General features: G+C 39.3%; 1 protein-coding gene and 1 pseudogene across 19 annotated transcripts in view; both read left to right on the forward strand.

Moving 5' to 3' along the window:
* BBS9 (Bardet-Biedl syndrome 9) overlaps window positions 1-26,802 on the forward strand; it is a 506,483-nt gene that overhangs the window by 25,194 nt on the left and 454,487 nt on the right. For 15 of the 19 annotated variants that reach the window (NR_145412.1, NR_145411.1, NR_145413.3 and 12 more), the window contains 2 exons: window positions 1,160-1,224; window positions 23,000-23,113. Coding sequence is in view for 16 of the 19 variants with exons in the window: in NM_001348036.1 (NP_001334965.1) it covers window positions 1,160-1,224; window positions 23,000-23,113 (179 nt within the window). In the remaining 3 variants the exon portion in view is untranslated. The remainder of the gene's footprint in view (window positions 1-1,159; window positions 1,225-22,999; window positions 23,114-26,802) is intronic. The other 4 variants (NM_001348037.3, NM_001348045.3, NM_001348046.3 and 1 more) reach the window with 1 other exon arrangement.
* RNA5SP229 (RNA, 5S ribosomal pseudogene 229) lies at window positions 23,262-23,360 on the forward strand (annotated as a pseudogene).

A 26,802-nucleotide genomic window follows, 5' to 3' on the forward strand; every position in this document is an offset into this window, starting at 1 on the left:
TTTTGAGGCGGAGTTTCACTCTCGTCGCCCAGACTGGAGTGCAATGGCGTGATCTCAGCTTGCTGCAACCTCCGCCTCCCAGATTCAAGCAATTCTCCTGCCTCAGCCTCCCAAGTAGCTGGGACTACAGGCACGTGCCACCATGCCTGGCTAATTTTTGTATTTTTAGTAGAGACAGGGTTTCACCATGTTGGCCAGGCTGGTCTCGAACTTCTGATCTCAGGAGATCCACCGCCCCCTCCCACCTCAGCCTCCCAAAATGCTGGATTACAGGTGTGAGCCATTACACCTGGCCGCCTGCTCAGTATTTTAAATTTAAAAGAGCTGTCAACATTTAAGAACCAAGAGATTTCACATAAAACCCAATGCTTTCTGGCTTTTCTTGAAAAATGTGGGGCTCTGGCCCCAAGCCCAGAACCAAGTAATAGCCACCTCCTTTAGTCTGGTTCAGTCTCCAGTTAATCACAGCCATTTACACTCTTTACTCATTAACAACCCCTGGCTTGATCCTTGAAAACTGAATTTAGGATCTCTAGACTGTGCCATGCTAGTTTCTGGAAACCACTTGAGATAGGCTGGGAATTGTTGTGGTGATATTGGTAGTTTATTTCTATTTGAGATTTAGTCCAAACAGAAATATTTTCAATACTTGTAATAAAATTTCAGATATGGAAGTGATATATGCTACTTGTAATAATGATTGGTGTTTTGTGATGTTTTAACCTTTCCAAGATGGTTTCACATTATTTTATTTCATTTCATTGAACCTCTTATTTTTCATGAGAAATAGGCTCAGGGAGATTTTAGTGACTTGCCCAAAGTCACGGATGAATTAGTCAGAAAGCCAGGACTAGAACTTGGATTTCTTTATTGAAAGAAATAGCACTTAGGGAAGGACCTCAGATCTGACTTTTTCTTGGAAGCTCTGTTGGCTTCAATCTGAAGGCAGTGCCTTGAGGCAGAGTACTTGAGCCTCTGGGGTTGTCACATTGGCTGTTTATTGTTATATTTATTTTTCAGTTTAGAATGTTATCTAATGAATTGTTTTGTTTACTCACAGTGGCTGTGGTTATGAGATCTTTTTGAAATTATTTTACAACTTTTTGGTTACGTCTAAAGCTAATATTGGAAAACTTTAAAAACTTTCTCTGTTTTTCAGAGGTACCGAAATGCTACATTTGGCTGTGTTACATTCTAGAAAACTTTGTGTCTACTCTGTCTCAGGTAAGAAATATTTTTACCAATGTAGAATTTATATTACAAATTGGGCTTAATGTTATATGAGAATAGATATTCCCTAGTGCTGACTTGGTAGAGAACACAAAACATTTAGTTGAATGTTTTCTTGTCTTGGTTAACATTTTCCCATTTTTCATTTATTCTTTCAGATACTTAGGCTATTACATTTTCATGGTCTACTATTTCTGTGTATATGTATCTTTCTAGCAGAGGATTCCTCTTAATCACCTGCCTCTCCAGAATTGTTTCCGGGATTGCCTGTGACTAATAGAGGCCAATTCTGGGTACTTAAGACACTTGAGTCTTAAGAAATGTTCTACAATAACAAAATTGATTAGATGCTAAGTCATAGTGGTTTGAAGTACATTTTCTTTGGTGAACCTCAAGTATTTTCTCTTTACCGTTCCAATTTCTTGGTTTTTGGTTGTCTTCACTCAGTCAGGCTTCATCAGGTTTCATTCTCTGACATGGTTCTGTGGGTACAAGTATAGTGTGCGGTTTGGTTTTTATTAAAATTATAGTATGTGGTTTGGTTTTTATTATATTTTATTTTGGCCTTTATTAAATGTAAGATATAACTTAAAAATTTTTATTTCAATTATTAGATAAGTTTAGTTCAAGTTGAGAGTTATTTTAATGGATGTCAGTGTTGGGGGCATTTTTTTTATGGGTATGAGAAAACTAAGTGTCTGTGAGGCTGTTCCTTTTACCAGAGATCCTCTCCTTTGGAGCTTGCTGTAAATGTTACCTTCTAGGATTTGGATTTCTCAGACTTATTCTCTTCATTTGGGCTTTCTTTGTATTTTGCTTTCAATTTGAGTAATGATGCATATTTACTGACTGAGTTGGATATTCTTAGGCAGTCTCTTTTCAGGGTGAAGATCTTTTAGATTTCCAAGGCAGGCTTGGTAACCTGGCGTGGTATATGGTAGACATCCAGTAAATACTTGTTGAATGAATGAATGAACAAATTTCTGGGTAGTGCTGAGGCAATTGACAGTGGCTTTCTTTATTACTCTTCACCATGTTCTGTTTTCGTCCCCTTCTCTGTTACCACTATCATTTTATTTCCCACTCTGTTTATGTCAGAGGCCTGATAAAGTGTGCTCTCATTGATTTTATGGTAAAGGACATGGTTTCATGTTGCTCCTCCTAGTGTCAGGGCATTTATTTAGTATGCCAGAGTAAATGGAGAAGGTATTATCATACGATATAGGCTACTTTATTGCATGGATCTAGTTGTTCTTCTGTTTTTGACCGTAAGCCTGTTATTTTACTAAGTGGGTTACACAAGCCATGGAGGAGAATTTGCCTACAGTTATAGTTACCCAGAATACTTCTTTGGCAATTAGTTCCTTCTGAAGCTCCATGGGGGCTCTAAGCAGGGCAGAGAGGAGGGTATCTTAGAAGCTAGAAATTCGATTAGACACTAGGCCTTCCCTGGTCCTGCTCGAACTATGGGCCAAAAAGACAGATGCCTCTGGAGTTCCACTGGGGCTTAGAGCACAGACAAGGGATAAAAAGTGTACTTATCAGAAAAACGTACTGAAAGAAACTGGCATATTAGGTGACAATTTGTTTATGGCATATTGATATCCTTCAAGTAAGTGTTGAAAATGAAAGTTATTTGCTATGGGAATGGTGATTTTATAGCTCTTTTATTCTTTGTGTTCATTTAAAAGCTTTGTATTCTCTGGGGACTAGGAGTTGTCCAAACTACATTCTCTTAGGCCCCACCTCACTTCCCTTCTGTCTTTCATTTCTTCAGCCTCTTGTGATGTGGGCTGACAATTTGTATATTTTTCCTGGCTTGGGCTTAAATTGAGAAGCATGGGAATGTTTTTGTTCTCTTGAATATGTTTCTTGAAGTTCCAGATTGAACTTTTACCTAGCTTTTACTGTCACAGGGGAAGCACAAACATTTTCTAATTTAAGTGAAACCACTAGTGTCAGCAGACAAACGTGTGAGCTGAACTTGACATCCTTTTCTTCAACTGCTCCCTTCTCAAATATTTTCAAACTAGAGGAGCCTTTCTAAGGTCAGTCTCCTGGACATACCTAACAACCCTTAATAGTCAGAGGCTATTTTGCTAACTTCTTTTTGGTGGGTTATGTGTCATCAAATGTATGCTTAATATAGAGAAAAAAACAGGGTCTTGCTGACCTGAAGTTGGCCTATCTTATCATACTCTGGTAAAGAGAAAGCATCACATGGCATCTCAGATTTCTTTCTGATGGGCTTCAGTTTCTGAATAAATGGTTACAGATGTGTGAGTGTGAGCCGTACTGATTATGTTGTTTTAAATATTATTTTCCAAAAGATGTGTACTTCTCAAGAGGCATTTACTAAACATCTGACATATTTATAGAATTTTAATGGTTTCCATGAGGAGGGCAAAAAAGATGTGGTTCTTTACTTTTGACAGTCTTACGTAATCTGATTTACTTAATATGTAATGGCTTTGAGTTTAACATCCTTAGATTGCTCAGCAGTTACCTAAAATTGCACCGAAAACTGTTGTCAAAGTGACCTCTGATTTTCCAGAGAATTTTTTGGTTTAAATCAGATCTTGTTTAAGTAAGGCCTGTTGCATAAATGTTTGAATATTCATGTATTTTCTAATTGATGAAACTTTATAATGTATGTAGACTATAATCATATATGCTATATTCAGTCCATATATCCCAGGGCAAAACCTATGCAAATAATTTTAATATTATGTCACTGATGCTTTTTTAGGGAGAAAATGGTCAGAAATATTAGATTCCCAAATACTTCTTTTATTCCAAGGTAGTTATCTAAGGAAAATTGTCTTTTTCTCCATAGTTGCATTATTAAATTTTAAAGTGCTATTACCTGACATTTAAGATGTATCAGTGCATTTGGAGTTTTTACACAAAGCCTAGTGTCGTTTCATGCCAAGTTTAAATATTGGCTGCTGACACCTATGTTCATTGACATGAGTTCCTAATGTTCCTGCTTGCATTTTGGCTAGCAGGCATGTATAGGTGCTTTTCTTATTCAGAGGGATTGATCTGGTTGTAGATGTTGTTAAAAGAAAAACCTTAGTCAAATGAAATTTAACAGAGTTTAATTGAGCAAAGAATGATTTGTGAATTGGGCAGTCTCTTGAGCCAGAGTAGGCTGAGAGAGACTCCAGCACAGCCACATGGTAAAAGACGATTTATAGACAGAAAAAGGAAAGTGACAGACAGAAAAAGGAAAGAGATGTACAGAAAATAGAATGAGGTACAGAAACGGTCAGGTTGGTTACAGCTTGAGGTTTACCTTATTTGAACATAGTTTGAACAACTGGCCTCCTTTGATTGGCCAAAACTCAGTGATTGGCACAAGAGTAGGTTACAGTCTATTTCCACCTCCATTTAGGTTATAGTTCACTATGTACAGAGAAACCTTTAGGCTGAGCTTAAAAGATGTAAGGAGGCAGCTTTAGGCTAAACTTGATTTAACAATTTTCCTCTTTTGGTCATCCTCTCAATTTTGAGAGATTGACCACAACTAGTCATTGATGTCACTATCACCATTGTAAATGTGCTTATTTCATCTCAAAACCCACTGAGAAATAGCAGAACAGTGGATTTTGTAAGGTAGGAACAAGGAATTTAGTTTATTTTTTGTAAAGGTTAGAGTAGAGGGTACTTCCTTATGCTGGAATGTCCTGTTTAGAGGAGAAAAACAAAACCTGGTCTGTTCTAGGAGCTTTGTGTTTCCTTAAGATCTTAGTTTGATTATGTCACATTTAACATGAGTGACTTCATTTTGGCTTGGTCTTGTCTGTTGGGACCTAGTGCATGAGTTCAGTCCAAAACAATGGCCTTCCATAATTTTATTTTAAAACTTCCCCCTTTTAGTCAGGTTCTCACATAGGTGAGAGTGTGACCAAAACTTAGGGCCTTAGTTCCACTCTCTTTTAACATCAATTTTGGGTTTCTGGTCTCAGGATGTCATTCATAGGTTACAGTGCCCTCATGGTCACACATCTTTTTAAGCTCTTGTCCTTCTAGTTGAAGAGAGATCATGTGGCACTCTAGAGATGGCTGCATGCAAACATTTAAAACTTTTGAGAGAATATAGCACACTAGGGAGATTACTATTTTGACTATCAGGAGGATAATACCAAGAGTTTGGAGCATGCTTCTTAGCCAGGGTCCCCATGAACCAAACCAACTAAAATTAAATAGATCAAAGAATGAGCTAGATAAAGAGTCTGTTCGTTTTAAATAAGCAGTCTCTTTGTTAGTTCCCTGTAACTGAATCTCTATAATGCTCAATGTGATGCATTTCTCCATGGCCAACAAGAAGTGCCAGCAAGTGCACAGATACTGCTGTTTAGCCAGTAAGTAATCTAGAGCAGTTCTATTATTTAGCATAACTTTCATAAGAGAATACAAAGTCTGTTGTGTGACCATAGCCTTTAGGGTAGAATCTTCTATAAAGCCTATCATGAGGGATACATTTCTAATTATTGCCTCATTTACTTCAAACCATGGAAAAGGAGACCTAACAAATGATGTCTATTTAGAAGAATGAAGACTTCTTGGAAATGTTCTCTTTAACCTGTGACGTAGGTTAAGAGGAGTGGACCAATGTCCTGTTTCTAACTGATTATGAGGCAACAAATGTGTCATTAAAATTTCTCACCTGCATTGGGCCTTCGTCTTTTATCTATTGAGGCATAAGGTATTCCATGTATAAGGCTGGCTGCAAAATCCTTCACAAATTAAAGTATACTCTATGAATACACACAATAGACCCTCTTTTCACTTCTATTGTTCATGGAAGCATAAGCAAGAAAAAATAGGTAAGAGTCTCCTGATAGCAGAGAAGTCTTGATCTGTGATCTTGAGAAAAAGCTGTCTATATCATGGATACCATCTTCTTCTGGGGAGAAACTTTCCTGTTTAGCTTTACTTTAAGGTTGCCAATGGGTGTACAGTTCCAAGAGTGGAGGGGCCCTTTTGAGTTGTGAGATTATTAACTCAAAATTTCAAGGTCCCAAAGTGTTGCTGCAATGTAGATGGCAAGGGCAGTCTTTCTCTGGTATTCTCAGAAGATTCAATCTTTGTGTTCTAGATTTTGAAGGGGTTGATTGTCCTCAGTCAGCAGACTGTGAAAAGCTTTCTTCACCAGGTGGAAATATACTTTGACAAATAGAGCTAATGTTATAACATCAGCCCTCTTGCATGGGAAAGCTTTTATACAACCAGAAGACATGCATTGAAAATGACAATTGAATGAAATCTTTCTATAAATGTTTAAATGGCTCATCAGCTAGCAGAAATGTACCTGAAATTTTGGTTGTCTTTCCAGGAATATGGGTTTGAAAAGCAAACATTGGTTGTAAACTCTTTTAGCAACATGGAACAGTCACTACACTAATTAATACTTTTTTTTTTATTATACTTTAAGTTCTAGGGTACATGTACAACGTGCAGGTTTGTTACATAGGTATACTTGTGCTATGTCGGTTTGCTGCCACCATTAACTCGTCATTTACATTAGGTATTTCTTCTAATGCTATCCCTGCCCCTGCACCCCACCCCACGACAGGCCCTGTTATGTGATGTTCCCCACCCTGTGTCCAAGTGTTCTCATTGTTCAGTTCCCACCTATGAGTGAGAACATGCAGTGTTTGGTTTTCTGTCCTTGTGATCGTTTGCTCAGAATGATGGTTTCCAGCTTCATCCATGTCCCTGCAAAGGACATGAACTCATCCTTTTTTATGGCTGCATAGTATTCCATGGTGTATATGGGCTACATTTTCTTAATCCAGTCTATCATTGATGGACATTTGGGTTGGTTCCAAGTCTTTGCTATTGTGAATAGTGCCATAAAAAACATACGTATACATGTGTCTTTATAGTAGCATGATTTATAATCCTTTGGGTGTATACCCAGTAATGGGATTGCTGGGTTAAATGGTATTTCTGGTTACAGATCCTTGAGGAATTGCCACACTGCCTTCCACGATGGTTGAACTAGTTTACACTCCCACCAACAGTGTGAAAGCATTCCTATTTCTCCTCATCCTCTCCAGCATCTGTTGCTTCCTGACTTTTTAATGATTGCCATTCTAACTGATGTGAGATGGTATCTCATTGTGGTTTTGATTTGCATTTCTCTGATGACCAGTGATGATGAGCATTTTTTCATGTGTCTGTTGGGTGCATAGATGTCTTCTTTTGAGAAGTGTCTGTTCATATCCTTTGCCCACTTGTTGATGGAATTGTTTGTTTTTTTCTTGTAAATTTGTTTAAGTTCTTTGTAGATTCTGGATATTAGCCCTTTGTCAGATGGGTAGATTGCAAAAACTTTCTCCCATTCTGTAGGTTGCCTGTTCACGCTGCTGGTAGTTTTCTTTTTTTGCTCATGAAGTCCTTGCCCATGCCTGTGTCCTGAATGATATTGCCTAGGTTTTCTTCTAGGGTTTTTATGGTTTTAGGTCTAACATTTAAGTCTTTAATCTATCTTGAATTAATTTTGTATAAGGTGTAAGGAAGGGATCCAGTTTCAGCTTTCTACATATGGCTAGCCAGTTTTCCCAGCACCATTTATTAAATAGGGTATCTTTTCCCCATTTCTTGTTTTTGTCAGCTTTGTAAAGATCAGATGGTTGTAGACGTGTGGTGTTATTGGTTATATGCCATTGGTAATGGCATTGAATCTATAAATTACCTTGGGCAGTATGGCCATTTTCACTGTATGGATTCTTCCTATCCATGAGCATGGAATGTTCTTCCATTTGTTTGTGTCCTCTTTTATTTTGTTGAGCAGTGGTTTGTAGTTCTCCTTGAAGAGGTCCTTCACATCCCTTGTAAGTTGGATTCTTAGGTATTTTATTCTCTTTGTAACAGTTGTGAATGGGAGTTCACTCATGATTTGGCTCTGTTTGTCTGTTGTTGATGTATAGGAGTGCTTGTGATTTTTGCACATTGATTTTGTATACTGAGACTTTGCTAAACTTTCTTATCAGCTTAAGGAGATTTTGGGCTGAGACGATGGGGTTTTCTAGATTTACAATCATGTCATTTGCACACAGGGACAATTTGATTTCCCTTTTTCCTAATTGAATACCCTTTATTTCTTTCTCTTGCCTGATTGCCCTGGCCAGAACTTCCAACACTATGTTGAATAGGAGTCGTGAGAGAGGGCATCTCTGTCTTGTGCCTGTTTTCAAAGGGAATGCTTCCAGTTTTTGCCCATTCAGTATGATATTGGCTGTGGGTTTCTCATAAGTAGCTCTTATTATTTTGAGATACGTTCCATCAATACCTAGTTTATTGAGAGTTGTTAGCATGAAGGGTTCTTGAATTTTGTAGAGGCGTTTTCTGCATCTATTGAGATAATCATGTGGTTTTTGTCATTGGTTCTGTTTATATGATGGATTATGTTTATTGATTTGCATATGTTAAACCAGCCTTGCATCCCAGGGATGAAGCTGACTTGATCGTGGTGGATAAACTTTTTGATGTGCTGCTGGATTTGGTATGCCAGTATTCTATTGAGGATTTTCGTGTCAGTGTTCCTCAGGGATATTGGTCTAAAATTCTCTTTTTTTTGCTGTGTCTCTGCCAGCCTTTGGTATCAGGATGATGCTGGCCTCATAAAAACAGTTAGGGAAGATTCCCTCTTTTTCTATTGATTGGAATAGTTTCAGAAGGTATGGTACCACCTCCTCTTTGTACCTCTGGTAGAATTCGGCTGTGAGTCCATCTGGTCTTGGACTTTTTTTGGTTGGTATGCTATTAATTATTGCCTCAATTTCAGAACCTGTTATTTGTCTATTCAGAGATCCAACTTCTTCCTGGTTTAGTCTTGGGCGGGTGTATGTGTCCAGGAATTTATCCATTTCTTCTAGATTTTCTAGTTTTTTTGCATAGAGGTGTTTATAGTATTCTCTGATGGTAGTTTGTATTTCTGTGAGATCAGTGGTGATATCCCCTTTATCATTTTTTGTTGCGTCTATTTGATTCTTCTCTGTTTTCTTCTCTATTAGTCTTGCTAGAGGTCTATCAATTTTGTTGATCTTTTCAAAAAACCAGCTCCTGGATTCACTGATTTTTTGAAGGGTTTTTTGTGTCTCTATTTCCTTCAGTTCTTCTCTGATCTTAGTTATTTCTTGCCTTCTGCTAGCTTTTGAATATGTTTTCTCTTGCTTCTCTAGTTCTTTTAATTGTGATGTTAGGGTGTCTATTTTAGATCTTTCCTGCTTTCTCTTGTGGGCTTTTAGTGCTATAAGTTTCCCTCTACACACTGCTTTAAATGTGTCCCAGAGATTTTGGTACGTTGTGTCTTTGTTCCCATTGGTTTCAAAGAACATCTTTATTTCTGCCTTCATTTCGTTATGTACCCAGTAGTCATTCAGGAGCAGGTTGTTCAGTTTCCATGTAGTTGTGCAGTTTTGAATGAGTTTCTTAATCCTGAGTTCTAATTTGATTGCACTGTGGTCTGAGAGACAGTTTGTTATGATTTCTGTTCTTTTGCATTTGCTGAGGAGTGTTTTACTTCCAATCATGTGGTCAATTTTTGAATAAGTGCGATGTGGTGCTGAGAAGAATGTATACTCTGTTGATTTGGATGGAGAGTTCTGTAGATGTCTATTAGGTACGCTTGGTGCACAGCTGAGTTCAAGTCCTGGATATCCTTGTTAACTTTCTGTCTCGTTGATCTGTCTAATGTTGACAGTGGGGTGTTAAAGTCTCCCATTATTATTGTGTGGGAGTCTAAGTCTCTTTGTAAGTCTCTAAAAACTTGCTTTATGAATCTGGGTGCTCCAGTATTGGGTGCATATATATTTAGGACAGTTAGCTCTTCTTGTTGAATTGATCCCTTTACCATTATGTAATGGCCTTCTTTGTCTCTTTTGATCTTTGTTGGTTTAAAGTCTGTTTTATCAGAGACTAGGATTGCAACCCCTGCTTTTTTTTGTTTTCCATTTGCTTGGTAGATCTTCCTTTATCCTTTTATTTTGAGCCTATGTGTGTCTCTGCATGTGAGATGGGTCTCCTGAATACAGTACACTGATGGGTCTGGACTCTATCCAATTTGCCAGTCTGTGTCTTTTAACTGGGGCATTTAGGCCATTTACATTTAAGGTTAATATTGTTATGTGTGAATTTGATCCTGTCATTATGATGTTAGCTGGTTATTTTGCCCGTTGGTTGATGCAGTTTCTTCCTAGCATCGATGGTCTTTACAATTTGGCGTGTTTTTGCGGTGGCTGATACCGGTCTTTCCTTTCCATGTTTAGTGCTTCCTTGAGGAGCTCTTGTAAGGCAGGTCTGGTGGTGACGAAATCTCTCAGCATTTGCTTGTCTGTAAAGAATTTTATTTCTCCTTCACTTATTAAGCTTAGTTTGGCTGGATATGAGATTCTGGGTTGAAAATTGTTTTCTTTAAGAATGTTGAATATTGTCCCCCACTCTCTTCTGGCTTGTAGAGTTTCTGCCGAGAGATCCGCTGTTAGTCTGATGGGCTTCCCTTTGTGGGTAACCTGACCTTTCTTTCTGGCTGCCCTTAACATTTTTTCCTTCATTTCAACCTTGGTGAATCTGACAATTATGTGTCTTGGGTTTGCTCTTCTTGAGGAGTGTCTTTGTGGCATTATCTGTATTTCCTGAATTTGAATGTTGGCCTGCCTTGCTAGGTTGGGGAAGTTCTCCTGGATAATATCCAGCAGAGTGTTTTCCAACTTGGTTCCATTCTCCCCATCACTTTCAGGTACACCAGTCAAACGTAGATTTGGTCTTTTCACATAGTTCCATATTTCTTGGAGGCTTTGTTCGTTTTTTTTTTTACTCTTTTTTCTCTAAACTTCTCTTCTCGCTTTATGTCATTAATTTGATTTTCAATCAACGATAGCCTTTCTTCCACTTGATTGAATCAGCTATTGAAGCTTGTGCATGTGTCTTGTAGTTCTTGTGCCATGGTTTCAGCTCCATCAGGTCATTTAAGGTCTTCTTCTCTACACTGTTTATTCTAGTTAGCCATTCATCTAATCTTTTTTCAAGGTTTTTAGCTTCGTTGTGATGGGTTCGAACATCCTCCTTTAGCTTGGAGAAGTTTGTTATTACCGACCTTCTGAAGCCTACTTCTGTCAGCTCGTCAAACTCATTCTCCGTCAAGCTTTGTTCCGTTGCTGGCAAGGAGCTGCAATCCTTTGGAGGAGAAGAGGTGCTCTGGTTTTTAGAATTTTCAGCTTTTCTGCTCTGGTTTCTCCCCATCTTTGTGGTTTTATCTGCCTTTGGTCTTTGATGTTGGTGACCTACAGATGGGGTTTGGGTGTGGATGTCCTTTTTGTTGATGTTGATGCTATTCCTTTTTGTTTGTTAGTTTTCCTTCTAACAGTCAGGTCCCTCAGCTGCAGGTCTGTTCGAGTGTGCTGGAGGTCCACTCCAGACACTGTTTGTCTGGGTATCAGCAGCAGAGGCTGCAGAACAGCAAATATCGCAGAAGAGCAAATATTGCTGCCTGATCCTTCCTCTGGAAGCTTCTTCCCAGAAGGGCACCCTCCTGTATGAGGTGTCAGTCAACCCCTACTGGGAGGTATCTCCCAGTTAGGCTACTCAGGGTTCAGGGACCCACTTGAGGAGGCAGTCTGTCTGTTCTCAGAGCTAAAACACCATGCTGGGAGAACCATTGGTCTTTTCAGAGCTGTCAGATAGGGAGGTTTAAGTCTGCAGAAGTTTCTGCTGCCTTTTGTTCAGCTATGCCCTGCCTCCAGAGGTGGAGTCTACAGAGGCAGATGGCCTTGCTAAGCTGCGGTGGGCTCCGCCAAGTTTGAGCTTCCTCCAGCCGCTTTGTTTACCTACTCAAGCCTCAGCAATGGCGGATGCCCCTCCCCCTGCCAGGCTGCTGCCTCACAGGTTGATCTCAGACTGCTGCGCTAGTAGTGAGCAAGGCTCCATGGGCGTGGGACCCACCTAGCCAGGCGTGGGATCCACCTAGCCAGGCGTGGGATATAATCTCCTGGTGTGCCATTTGCTGAGACTGTTGGAAAAGGGCAGTATTTGGGCAGGAGTGTCCCGTTTTTCCACGTACAGTCTGTCACGGCTTCCCTTGGCTAGGAAAGGGATATCCCCCAACCCCTTGCACTTCCTGGGTGAGGTGATGCCCCACCCTGCTTTACCTCACCCTCCGTGGGCTGCACCCACTGTCCAACCAGTCCCAATGAGATGAACCAGGTAGCTCAGTTGGAAATGCAAAAATCACCCGTCTTCTGTGTCAGTCACGCTGGGAGCTGCAGATCAGAGCTGTTCCTATGTGACCACCTTCCAATTAATACATTTTTAATTTGGATAATTTTATCTCTTCCATGATGAGTCATAGAATGCAGAGCTTTTAATAACAAAAGCTTTAAGGACTCAGGAAGCACAAGGTGGCTGTCCAGGTTCTCCATGAGTCCATGCTTAATGTTGGACTTAATGTCCTCTTAAATAACAGTTGTTTCTCCAATTTAGGTTCACAGCACTGATAACTGAAAGTTATAGGTATTTTGACTTGGATCATGGAGTTCGTTCACATTGTATATATAAACAATTTCAGTACTGTCTGGTTTAGCATAAAAATCTGACAAAGTATTTTCTTGGTATTGAATATTTTTGTCCTGCTTGGGTTAGCAGTTTTATAAACTAGTCAGTCTGTTCATTAAAGTTCTGAGAATTCTTTTTTTTTTTTTTTTTGAAATGGAGTCTAGCTCTGTTGCCCAGGCTGGAGTGCAGTGGTACAATCTCAGCTCATTGCAACCTCTGCCTCCCGGGTTCAAGCGACTCTCCTGCCTCAGCCTCCTGGGTGGCTGGGATTGCAGGTGCCCACCACCATGTCCAGCTAATTTTTGTATTTTAGTAGAGATGGGGTTCACTGTGTTGGCCAGGCTGTTCTTGAACTCCTGACCTTGTGATCCACCCTCCTCAGCCTCCCAAAGTGCTGGGAGTACAAGCATGAGCCACCACGATCAGCCTTAAATTCTGGGAATTCTTACCCCATCCAAATTATATGATCCTAAAGTTACCAGAAACCTGTATTCAAGAGTGCTTGTCGGGGTCCTTTCTATCCTTTCATGAACCTCCTTAAAGATACCATACTCTAGGATTTTGGATGCTTGTAAAGTTTTCAGGAACTGCGTTAAAATTAAGCAATTAACTGTGGAAATAACTTTAAATGATTATAAAGACATAATTGACAAGGAAATGTTGTCATTTATATGGCCTATAATAACATAACAACCATAAATATGACTGATAGCATATGCCCAGACATACTAGAATTTTAGAAATCCCATACAATTTTGGTACATATATTAATAACATATTCATTAAAATGTAACTTGAAGATTAAAAATCATTTCATGTTTGACAGTGCTTCCCGTGTAATTTAACCTTTCAGATAATCCTGTTTATCTCCTTTTGGCTGCTTCAGGTGCCCTCTGTAGCATCCCAAAGTTAGAGGCTGAAAGAGACTTAATTTTGACCTGAAATTTGGTTTTGGGAAGCCCATCAAATTGTCAAGGTTTTATAACACTTGACCAAGATAGGATCACAGGTCACCATAAAATAATGGTCATTCGTTTAGCCAAAGTGATAATTACAAGAATTTTTTTTTGAAAAAGAAGAAACCTGTACTCTTTGATAGAGGAGACTCAGTCTTTCAGTTATAAGACCTAAGACAGCATGACAGATCCTATCTCTTTTTCCTCCTCCTTTTTTTCCTTTTTGCAGTTTACTCAACGCATAAATGAAAATATTTTACTGTGTCTTATTAATAAATGCTACACAAATTTTTGTTCAAAAGAGAAATTAAATTTTACTTTTGTATTAGTGTATTATAAATACTAAAGCTAATTTTAATAAAATCTCATAAATAAATTTATCTAATCTGTCTTCTCTTAACCACACAAGATTTCCATAAACCTTTCATTTTGCATTTTCCAGCTTTCTATATTCATCTTGTTTTTTCTATTTTTTTACTCCTTCAATTTGAAACCTATAAGAAACCTCAAACCAGATAATATTTTTAACACATATCTTTGTGCTTTTTTAACTTTCCTCATGAAAAGCATATCTTGCTTTTTTTTATTTATTTTTTATTGTACTTTAAGTTTTAGGGTACATGTGCACATTGTGCAGGTTAGTTACATATGTATACATGTGCCATGCTGGTGTGCTGCACCCACTAACTCATCATCTAGCATTAGGTATATCTCCCAATGCTATCCCTCCCCGCTCCCCCCACCCCACCACAGTCCCCAGAGTGTGATATTCCCCTTCCTGTGTCCATGTGATCTCATTGTTCAATTCCCACCTGTGAGTGAGAATATGCGGTGTTTGGTTTTTTGTCCTTGCGATAGTTTACTGAGAATGATGCTTTCCAATTTCATCCATGTCCCTACAAAGGACATGAACTCATCATTTTTTATGGCTGCATAGTATTCCATGGTGTATATGTGCCACATTTTCTTAATCCAGTCTATCATTGTTGGGCATTTGGGTTGGTTCCAAGTCTTTGCTATTGTGAATAATGCCGCAATAAACATACGTGTGCATGTGTCTTTATAGCAGCATGACTTAGAGTTCTTTGGGTATATACCCAGTAATGGGATGGCTGGGTCAAATGGTATTTCTAGTTCTAGATCCCTGAGGAATCGCCATACTGACTTCCACAATGGTTGAACTAGTTTACAGTCCCACCAACAGTGTAAAAGTGTTCCTATTTCTCCACATCCTCTCCAGCACCTGTCGTTTCCTGACTTTTTAATGATTGCCATTCTAACTGGTGTGAGATGGTATCTCATTGTGGTTTTGATTTGCATTTCTCTGATGGCCAGTGATGGTGAGCATTTTTTCATGTGTTTTTTGGCTGCATAAATGTCTTCTTTTGAGAAGTGTCTGTTCATGTCCTTCGCCCACTTTTTGATGGGGTTGTTTGTTTTTTTCTTGTAAATCTGTTTGAGTTCATTGTAGATTCTGGATATTAGCCCTTTGTCAGATGAGTAGGTTGCGAAAATTGTCTCCCATTTTGTAGGTTGCCTGTTCACTCTGATGGTAGTTTCTTTTGCTGTGCAGAAGCTCTTTAGTTTAATTAGATCCCATTTGTCAATTTTGTCTTTTGTTGCCATTGCTTTTGGTGTTTTAGATATGAAGTCCTTGCCCATGCCTATGTTCTGAATGGTAATGCCTAGGTTTTCTTCTAGGGTTTTTATGGTTTTAGGTCTAACGTTTAAGTCTTTAATCCATCTTGAATTGATTTTTGTATAAGGTGTAATCACAGCCGAATTCTACCAGAGGTACAAGGAGGAACTGGTACCATTCCTTCTGAAACTATTCCAATCAATAGAAAAAGAGGGAATCCTCCCTAACTCATTTTATGAGGCCAGCATCATTCTGATACCAAAGCCTGGAAGAGACACAACCAAAAAAGAGAATTTTAGACCAATATACTTGATGAACATTGATGCAAAAATCCTCAATAAAATACTGGCAAACCGAATCCAGCAGCACATCAAAAAGCTTATCCACCATGATCAAGTGGGCTTCATCCCTGGGATGCAAGGCTGGTTCAATATATGCAAATCAATAAATGTAATCCAGCATATAAACAGAGCCAAAGACAAAAACCACATGATTATCTCAATAGATGCAGAAAAGGCCTTTGACAAAATTCAACAACCCTTCATGCTAAAAACTCTCAATAAATTAGGTATTGATGGGATGTATTTCAAAATAATAAGAGCTATCTATGACAAACCCACAGCCAATATCATACTGAATGGGCAAAAACTGGAAGCATTCCCTTTGAAAACTGGCACAAGACAGGGATGCCCTCTCTCACCACTCCTATTCAGCATAGTGTTGGAAGTTCTGGCCAGGGCAATTAGGCAGGAGAAGGAAATAAAGGGTATTCAATTAGGAAAAAAGGAAGTCAAATTGTCCCTGTTTGCGGATGACATGATTGTATATCTAGAAAACCCCATTGTCTCAGCCCAAAATCTCCTTAAGCTGATAAGCAACTTCAGCAAAGTCTCAGGATACAAAATCAATGTACAAAAATCACAAGCATTCTTATACACCAACAACAGACAAACAGAGAGCCAAATCATGAGTGAACTGCCATTCACAATTGCTTCAAAGAGATTAAAATACCTAGGAATCCAACTTACAAGGGATGTGAAGGACCTCTTCAAGGAGAACTACAAACCACTGCTCAAGGAAATAAAAGAGGATACAAACAAATGGAAGAACATTCCATGCTCATGGGTAGGAAGAATCAATATCATGAAAATGGCCATACTGCCCAAGGTAATTTACAGATTCAATGCCATCCCCATCAAGCTACCAATGCCTTTCTTCACAGAACTGGAAAAAACTACTTTAAAGTTCATATGGAATGAAAAAAGAGCCCGCATCGCCAAGTCAATCCCAAGCCAGAAGAACAAAGCTGGAGGCATCACACTACCTGACTTCAAACTATACTACAAGGCTACAGTAACCAAAACAGCATGGTACTGGTACCAAAACAGAGATATAGATCAATGGAACAGAACAGAGCCCTCAGAAATAACGCCGCATATCTACAACTATCTGATCTTTGACAAACCTGAGAAAAACAAGCAGTGGGGAAAGGATTCCCTATTTAATAAATGGTGCTGGGAAAACTGGCTAGCCATATGTAGAAAGCTGAAACATATCTTGCTTTTGTTTATACACTATGTATACAAAATTGTTTCATCTCTAGTAGCTTTAATTACATATATCAACTAAAATTTTAACTCTTAGTAACCTTAATTTCTGATTAAAACCCTAGAAAATAATTTCGAACTAATTTTATATCAGTATTTGTGATAAAAACTATTTTTTTAAGTTTTTAGAAAGATTTTTCTTCAAATTATTGTTTTTTAACAGACCTAAATATATGTAGCTTTTCTGTATCATATAAAAATAACATCAACGTATACAGACAAACTCATGTTTAATAATTAATGTTTCAATATTTTAACTTATAAATGACTCAGACATTTTATGATTATTATTTAATTTAATATAACATGACCTGAAGATTTTAAATTACTGAAAATAATTTTGAAAATATGACACAGGTACCCTCCTTAATGTCTTCCCTTAGTCATTCTGGGTGCCAAGTAGCCTCATGGTACCCAGGAGGCTTATGAAGGTCAAGGCCTCTCTGAGTCCTGACATACCAGGTGCAATGGTCAGGATAGAAGACAGGGCTGTGAAGACTATATCTGGAGGATTCAACCCCTCCCCAAATAGCCAGTAGGCAAGCAGGAAAGCAGGGGAGAAGGGAGCATATTGGGCTTGGTTCTGGCTTGTAGCTGATGGTCTAGGCACTAAGAACATGCCTCTAGGCCGGGTGTGGTGGCTCACACCTGTAATCCCAGCACTTTGGGAGGCCGAGGTGGGCCGATCATGAAGTCAGGAGATTGAGATCATCCTGGCTAACACCGTGAAACCCCATCTCTACTAAAAAATACAAAAAATTAGCTGGACATGGTGGCGGGCGCCTGTAGTCCCAGCTACTCGGGAGGCTGAGGCAGGAGAATGGCATTAACCCAGGCGGTGGAGCTTGCAGTGAGCCAAGATCGTGCCACTGCACTCCAGCCTGGGTGACAGAGCGAGACTCTGTCTCAAAAAAAAAATAATAAAAAAAAAAAATGAAAAGAACACGACTCTAGACCTCGTCATGTCCACCTATGCAGACCCCCAAATCCAGAGGCTCTAAACCAAAAACAGCTCACAGTCAATCAAGCAAATATCTTGTTATATTTAACTGATAATTTTGAAGCTATTCCTATTTTAGCAACAATTTTAGAATTTGCTTTATTTACCAAATATTATCACAGACACATAACACACATGGACATGAAAGATTTTCATTTGCTAGCTTTTAAATAGTTTTCCTTTTCCCTATTTGGTCTATTAATCTTCCAGTTACTTGTTTCATTGCCCTAAGCAATTGTTAACCAGGCAACAAATTTGCATTTCTAAAATAACTCTTAGGTACAACAACAAAAAATTATATTCCATATGTACATAGCTAAGATTTTAGGCCTAAATATTGTATCATCATTTGTCTCAAACCAAGGAAAAAATGGTGCTCCCATAAAAGTTCAGTTAAGACAACATGGCCAGAAAGGCACCTTAATCAAAGGTGTGACTTATGCCAATTTAAAACAATGGGAAGAGTTTCTAATATACACAGGCAGACATCCTTAAAAATGGTGATTTCCTTAATAGATGTAAATTTCTTTTGCAGAAGGGTTTCAAGATAGCCAATGAAATTCCAGAAAGGCATATTTTAGTTCAATAGGTGTTCTTAATTTAGCTACTGTTTCTTAACTAAAATTACTGAGTTCAGAGTGGAGCCCATTAAGGAATAGGGGGAAGAAAGCATCCTCTATGCCTGGACTCAGCATGGTTGCATCTGAAAAAGAAGCAAGCCTATTTTGCCTGAGGGCCTGCCTTTTATAAACACTTTATCTTTAGTTGCTTAAGCTTTTTATTTGCCTTTTATAAAGAGTCTTTTAATAAAAATATTGAAAAATTTGGCCGAGTGCAGTGGCTCACGTCTGTAATCCCAGTATTTTGGGAGGCTGAGGCGGGTGGATCACGAGGTCAGGAGATCGAGACCATCCTGGCTAACACCGTGAAACCCCATCTCTATTAAAAAATACAAAAAATCAGCTGGGCGTGGTGGCAGGTCCCAGCTACTCGCGAGGATGAGGCAGGAGAATGGTGTGAACCTGGGAGGCGGAGCTTGCAGTGAGCTGAGATTGCGCCACTGCACTCCAGCCTTGGCAACAGAGCGAGACTCCATCCTAAAAAAAAAAAAAAAAAATTGAAAAATTTTAGAAGCTTCCACAGGTCAATAGCCATCCCTAGATGAGACTATTTGGGGAGCCATCATTTTCAAATTTACATCTTTGGTGCAGTGTTGTTCATTTGGAACATTCCACATTTGTAACTTATCTTTAGTAATATTTTGCCATTTCTGTTAGACTTTACTGCTTCTGGGGCCTAATACTTATGCACGTATAAGCTGGAAGTTACTCAGTTCTTCAGAAACTAAGGTTCCCATTTTTACCTCAAATATTGGCTTTGGCTCTCAGACCTCCTTGGTCAACCTAGCCAATGACTTTTCCCTATCTAAGTGTGCAAGAAAAATGAAACAAAGTGGGTAGAACACAGAAATTTCTGCTAATTTCCAAGAGCTAAACTTTATACCGCCTGCAATATTTCCATTTACTACCAGTTTTTTTCTGACCTAGTCAGATATAAGAAGCCCCCTTACTGGATACAAGACAGTTAATTATCAGATCCAGTCTGATCCTAGATCCAGTCTGATCCTAGACCCAGTCCAGTTTCTGTTGTGACTTCCAAACCCAGTTTGGATCAGAAATTTGCTCAAAGAAACTAGGAGAGCTCAAAACACAAATATGTGGAGCTTCTGAATCTGAGAGAGAACTTACCATGATCCCCAGTTGCTGTGAGAGAGCAATGGACACAATAGGCCTAGTGGGTACCTCGCTTGGTCGCTCAGCTCTCCTGGGGGTTGTTAGAACCTCTACTTTGGATCCCACTTCTGACACCATCTGTTAAAAGAAAAACTTTAGCCAAATTAAATTTAACAGCATTTAATTGAACAAAGAACAATTTGTGAGTTGGGCAGCCTCTTGAGCCAGAGTAGGCTCAGAGAGACTCCAGTGCAGCCACATAGTAGAAGATTTATAGACAGAAAAATGAAAGAGGTGTACAGAAAATGGAATGAGGTACAGAAACAGCTGGATTGTTTACAACTCAGCATTCACCCCATTTGAACATGGTTTGATCAGCTGACCGCCTTTGGCCAAAACTCGATGATTGGCACAAGGGAAGGTTACAGTCTGTTTACACTTCCATTTATGTTATAGTTCATTATGTACAGAAAAACCTTTAGGCTGAACTTAAAATATGTAAGGAGGCAGCTTTAGGCTAAACTTGATTTAACAGTTCAGAATGAAATTTGAAATTTCTTTAGGGATAAACCAGGTGACTCTTGGAGCTGCTCTTTCTGGTTTCTTGGAGGCTAGAACTCTCTTCAGGTTAATACCGTATGTGTTTCCCTCACCCATGTGGCTGGTTTGGTTGTGATTCCTCCTCAGCTTCCTGGCACCTCAATGATTTTACTACCATTTAGAATCCAGAAAGCCTTCATCCTCCATCAAGGTCAGCAGGCAAATTTAAGCCTTTATGTTTGTTTCTTATTCTATTGGTATATAAAATCTATTTTTGGCCAGGTGCGGTGACTCATGCCTGTAATCCCAGCACTTTGGGAGGCCGAGGCGAGTGGAACACCTGAGGTCAGGAGTTTGAGACCAGCCTGGCCAACATGGTGAAACCCTGTCTGTACTAAAAATACAAAAATTAGCTGGGTGTGGTGGCAGGTGCCTGTAATCCCAGCTACTCAGGAGGCTGAGGCAAGAGAATTGCTTGAATCCAGGAGTCAGAGCAGTGAGTGGAAATTGTGCCACTGAACTCCATCCTGTGCAACAGAGTGAGACTCTGTCTTTAAAAAATAAAAATAAAAAAAAAAACAACAAAACTAATGTTAATTAACCATTTGTGGGGACCATGGAACTGAGTAGAAATGATTCTCCTTCAAGAAATCCTCCCCTGATAGTTTTTCCTCTTTTAACTATTAAAAGACAAACTTAAGACAATTTAAATTTAATGGCCTTTAACTGAGCAAAGAATACCTCAGGTGTTGGGCAGCCCTCACAACCACCAGAGGAGGTTCAGAGCGCTCTGCTCTTCAACATGAGCAGGAAACATTTATGGACAGACAATGCAAGTGAGGTACAGAAACAGCTTCATTCCTGACAGCTTAGCATTTACCTTACTTGAACATGGTCTGGTCAGTTGGCTGCCTACGATTGGCTGAATGTCAGCTACCATGATTGGCCAGGCTGAGAAAGGCAAAAGGGAGGGAAAAAAAAATCTTTACTTATCTTAGGTTCTCCAGCTGGGGCTCTATAAATTAGACTGGCCAAAGACTAATTAACAATAGGAAAAACAAGCAGAAATTTATTAACATATGCATTGCTCATGTACACATAGGAATATTCCATAAGGAGTGACTCAAAAGGGTAGTTGGACCTTGGGCTAACATAGCATTTTAGGTGAAATAAAAGAAAATGGGTTTTGGGCTTCTGTACACAGAAGGCAAGTTATGGGAAGGTGACCAGAAAAAGTGTGGTAAACAAGGGTTGCTTAGTAAAGTTTGTTATGGTGATTTAAGTTGAGGCCTTCTCCATTGAAAAGAGCTAAGGGTACTCCTCTTCCTGGTACAAGGGAGGGAGACTTTTTTTTATAAATGGAGATTTCTTTTTTTAAATGACGACCTGTTTTTAGAGCTTTTCCGGCTAGTTCCCTGTGTCCTTTTGCTCAAAATAATCCATATGCCAAAGAGTCCTGTTTGAGGTGTCATATTCTGGTACCCTGCAGTGGAAAAGACATATTCTTGAAGCTGTTTTCTTTGGGGAAATTGTCGTTGACAGGATCCATGGACAGTAAAATCTTTACTGGGTGCGAGGACCACATTCCCTGAAAGTTGTTAAATGGTGGACAACTGGGCAGCAGGATACAATACATAGTACCTGGTTCTAAAGATTTGGTTTAGGTTCTAAAAGTCTGGTTTGAATACTCAGTTCTCTACCTTGAATACTGTATGATTTTGGGGAAATTTCTGTAAATTTGTTTTGAACTTAAGGTGCTTCAATTCTAAAACGGAAATAAAAATATATTCTTACAATCTCAGTGTATGTTGGTAAATTCTTCTGGACAAACAAACCCAAAACAAATAAATGCTCCTATATAAATTTATAAATAAATAAGTACACATACATATATTTTTAGATATTTTTAGTGATTGAGTACTACCCAGTTTGAGGACTATTGCATTTGCTTTATGATAATTTAAAATTTTCCTTAACTTTTACATTTTGGATTAATGAGTGATGCTTCTTTATGGAAAAAATTGCTTTCTGAATCCTTTTTCTTTCCAACACACTTTTTAATCATAATGTTCTTGCTCTATATGTATAAAATACAGATAAATACTCTTTTCTCATTTGGAAAGAACTAGAAAGTGAAGCACATGCAGTCTATTAAATGCAGAGTATTTTTCTGTGTTTGGAAGGAGATTCTTCTTGGCAGACTTCAAATAAAAAACATTTTCCTATTTACTTGTTGAGGGAAGCTTAGAAAATTTCTCAATTAAATTAGAATATAATTAGGGGCTTGAATATTTTGAGAGTTGGGGTAGGAACACTAATTGCTTGAAAGTGTTGGGGATTTTTTTTTCTTAGACACTTTGAGTCATTTCTTTGCTCTATTAATGTTTATAAATGCAGAGAACTTATTTATTTCAGATCTGAAATTAGAGGGTTTTGTTGTTATTTAAATAATTACACTTTACTCAGATATAATCTGTCTAATAAAAATAGAATATAAAGTGTCCCCAGGGTAATATTTTGTCTAATGGTGTAATTTAGCTGAGATGTAAATTGTTTTAACTGTACTGGCTTTGTGTGTCATCAGTATGCTAATTTTTCACAATACATAATATTTTAGTGCTTTGCCATTATAATTTCCCTAAAATTACTTAGAATCGGAGTAGTGGATGAGAACAAATTAATGTTTTTTAGTGTACACAAATACAAAGTAATCCTTTTTTTTTTTTCCTTAGGAACCTTGGGTAATGTGGAACATGGGAACCAATGTCAGATGAAATTGATGTATGAACATAATCTTCAGAGAACAGCCTGCAATATGACCTATGGATCATTTGGTGGTGTAAAAGGTAATTTGCTTTTAATCATGAGTATGCTATTTCAAGTGACAGATTTAGAATATTTGGTCATATAAAACAGAGGATTAAGTGGTTTGACTCTCAGAAAGAGTTAAAATAGACATTTTATTGAAACCTTTGTATCCAAATGCCCAAGCAAGTCTATGGCCATACCACCCTGAATGTGCCTGATATCGTCTGATCTTGGAAGCTAATCAGGGTCAGGCCTGGTTAGTACTTGGATAGGAGACCAAATACCCAATCAAAATAATAAAAAAAAACCTTTAAACATTGGAAGTCTTTGATTTTTATATAACCAGCATATTTTTATATGGTCTATAGAAACATTTCTAAAACTGCCTTTTCTACAGATTTTGTCTTTTATATATAAGCTGACTGAAACTGAGCTCTTTTTGTGTGTGATGGAACTGTGGTACCTGACTGTCTCTCTCAGTGGAAAAAATGGTTGACCTTATTGACAGGAAGTCACTGCTCTACCTGCTACAGGCAGGATAAAGCTGCAAACACCTCTCTCCACTCTACCCATATCTGGGGCTGCTGTACAGGGTTGTGTGGGTCGTTTCTGCACAGGGCAGCTGGAAGAGTGGGGGATGTGGGTCTGAAATACAGACTTGATCCTGCTCATCGAGCCATGCTTTCTGGCTTGGAGTAAATCTACCCAGAGGAAGGGGTGCTTTTTCTGTGTTTCACAAAGGCATCACCTTTATCTAGCACTGGCTCAGTGAGACTGGGTTCCTCCCACCTTGGCAGAGGGGTGTCTTTTTCTAATTAGCACAAAGGCCACCTTCATTGTGTCCACTCAGTCCCAGAGCTTCCAGATTCACCAAGGCTTGGTGCTTGCTTGTGTACACTCTTGCTGTTGGCATGGGAGGGCTCTTATTTCCAAACCAACTTCTCTCCCTGCACCGTGACAGGGTAGTAGAGGAGCTGGTGGTGCTGGATTGAGGATAGGAAGCCAGGTGGTGACACTTACCTGTGTGATTGTGTGACTCTGTGTGCATATGTATCTATGTTCCTGTGCCACCTGCAGAGCATGTAACTAGGGATTTTATAATATCTTAGCTCTTCCTGGACTCATGTTTTATGAGTTCATTGTTTAACTGTTGCATTGTATTTTTCCTTAGCAACATGAGAAAATGACTTCATTTTGGAAGTATTATTCATTTGTGTGAACTCAGTTTTTTTTTTTTATTAATACATACAGATAAAGACAAGGAATAATTGAATTTGGGTATACCAAGCAGCATCAGGGATATTTTTGGTGGTGATGTGCAAATAAATATTTTGCATAACTGAAGTGATGTGAAACAAAACACTTGGTTAGGTTGGAGGACTGCTTGAGTAACAGGAATGTTTGGATTACTTGAACGATAAGGAGATATCTAGAGTTAGATGAAGAGAGAAATTTAGATGAGGGGAGAGTCTGTCAGTGAAGTGCTTCCTCAGCTTTTAGAACTGATTTTTACTGTTCTTTGAAAAAATGTCTGACCTGATTAGGGAACCTAGGCCTCCCTTGTTTAATTAGCTATTTTCAATTCACTTTTCCCTACTGAATCTCCAAAAAGCAAATTACTAAATTCCATACATCATAAAAAAATTATAACATGAGAAAAAAGTGCTTTGGCCAAATAAAAGTGTTTTTTGATAGCATAACAGTGGTTCTTTAGGTCACATCAAATGTTATATAGCAGGGATCCCCGATCCCCAAGCTACAGATGTGTAGTGGTCCATGACCTGTTAGGAACCGGGTTTCACAGCAGGAGGTGAGCGGCAGGTGAGTGAGCAAAGCTTCATCTGTATTTACAGCCACTCCCCATCACTTGCATTAGCCTGAGCTGCGCCTTCTGTCAGATCTGGCTGCATGAGATTCTCATAGGAGCACAAACTCTATTGTGAACTGTGCATGCAAGGGATCTAGGTTGTGTGCTCTTATGCAAATCTAATGCCTGATCATCTGTCATTGCCTCCCATCATGCCAAGATGGGACCATCTAGTTGCAGGAAAACAAGCTCAGGGCTTCTACTGATCCTACACTGTGTCGAGTTGTGTAATTATTTCATTATATATTACAATGTAATAATAATAGAAATAAAGTGCACAATAAATGTAATGTGCTGAGTCATCCCGAAATCTTCCCCCTTCCTGGTCTGTGGAAAAATTGTCTTCCACAAAACTGGTCCTTGATGCCAAAAAGGTTGGGGACCACTATTATATAGATTGCAGTGTACTTTTTATTTTATTATCAGATCAAGTTAACCCTGTTGGATACACTGAGTTCTCAATTTCTCTTCAAAGAATCAGTATATCAGTATGTTCAGTTCTTTGTCCTTCATTTTAAAGCTTAACTTCCTTGTAGTTTCAGTAAATAGCCTTTTCCACCAGTTTTAATCAGTAGTTCACATCTGTTCCCCTGGTCACCTGCTCTGTCCTGACTTATCCTGGTTGCCTGCTTTGACCTCAGTCAGCCCTGGTCACCCGCTCTGACCTAAGTCACCTTTAGTTACCTGTTCCATAACCGTCTTTCCTGCCAAACTGCTCACCCCGCCACTCTGGCTCATACCCCTGTTCTCTTTAAAATAGCCAATCAGAATTAGCTTAGACTGTGTGGTCCAACCCTAGCCAATAGGGGAACAACACAGCAGTAGGGGGTACCTGTGTCAGGAATAAGAATCCCTTCCCCTCCCTTGTTCAGGTGTACTCTCACCATTGCTCCATCTGCAAGTTGCACCCTTCTATAGATGTAAAATTGCCTTGCTGAGAATTTTTTTTTTTTTTTTTTGAGATGGAGTCTCGCTCTGTCATCAGGCTGGAGTGCAGCGGTGTGATCTCGGCTCACTGCAACCTCCGACTCCCTGGTTCAACAATTCTACCTCAGCCTCCCGAGTAGCTGGGATTACAGGCACATGCCACCACGCCCAGCTAATTTTTGTATTTTCAGTAGAGATGGGGTTTCACCATGTTGGCCAGGATGGTCTCTATCTCCTGACCTCGTGACCCGCCTGCCTCAGCCTCTCAAAGTGCTAGGATTACAGGCGTGAGCCACTGCACCTGGCCGAGAAAATTCTTTGAGCACTAGTTCTTCTTTTCGGCACCGAGGACAAGCATTTGTTTGTAACAATCTGGTGGCCCGTATGGGAGCCCATTCTCTCCTGGAGAACAGGTCTCCAGTTGCCTCTTGTAGGGAGAAATGTCCCACTGCCTTGTTGCGGTAGCCTCAGGGTGAGAGACTGGGGATCCACCTGGTGTGACAAATAAACCCAGGCTAGCAACCTGGGGAAAAGGATCCTCACATACCGTGGCGACCAGGTAACTCTGTGCACAGAGCGAGGTAAGAAACATCATAAAGGCGACAAAGTATTTCCTTGGCGGTCGGGATATTCAGGGTGCTGAATGTGTATGTGAATGATCACAAGCACTCCTACTTGAGGTGCTGCTTGTGTGAATGGTACAAAGTACTACTGCTGTGCTGAGTGAGTGGGTCCTATCTGCGATTCCGTGGTCACCTCATATGGCTTAGGGAGGATCCTGTCATAGGATTTGTACCAGCATGCCGATGCCAAGAGGGACTTAGATCTCCCCCAGGGGAGCTGCCAGAGTGGACGAAGTGCAAGAAGGGTGCAAGGAGCCTTCTGCAGGTGGAACTAAAGGATAGGTGGGACACTTCTAATATGAGAAATTGA

The sequence above is a fragment of the Homo sapiens genome, chromosome 7 (genome assembly GCF_000001405.40).
Source record: "Homo sapiens chromosome 7, GRCh38.p14 Primary Assembly".
Classification (NCBI taxonomy): Eukaryota; Metazoa; Chordata; class Mammalia; order Primates; family Hominidae; genus Homo; species Homo sapiens.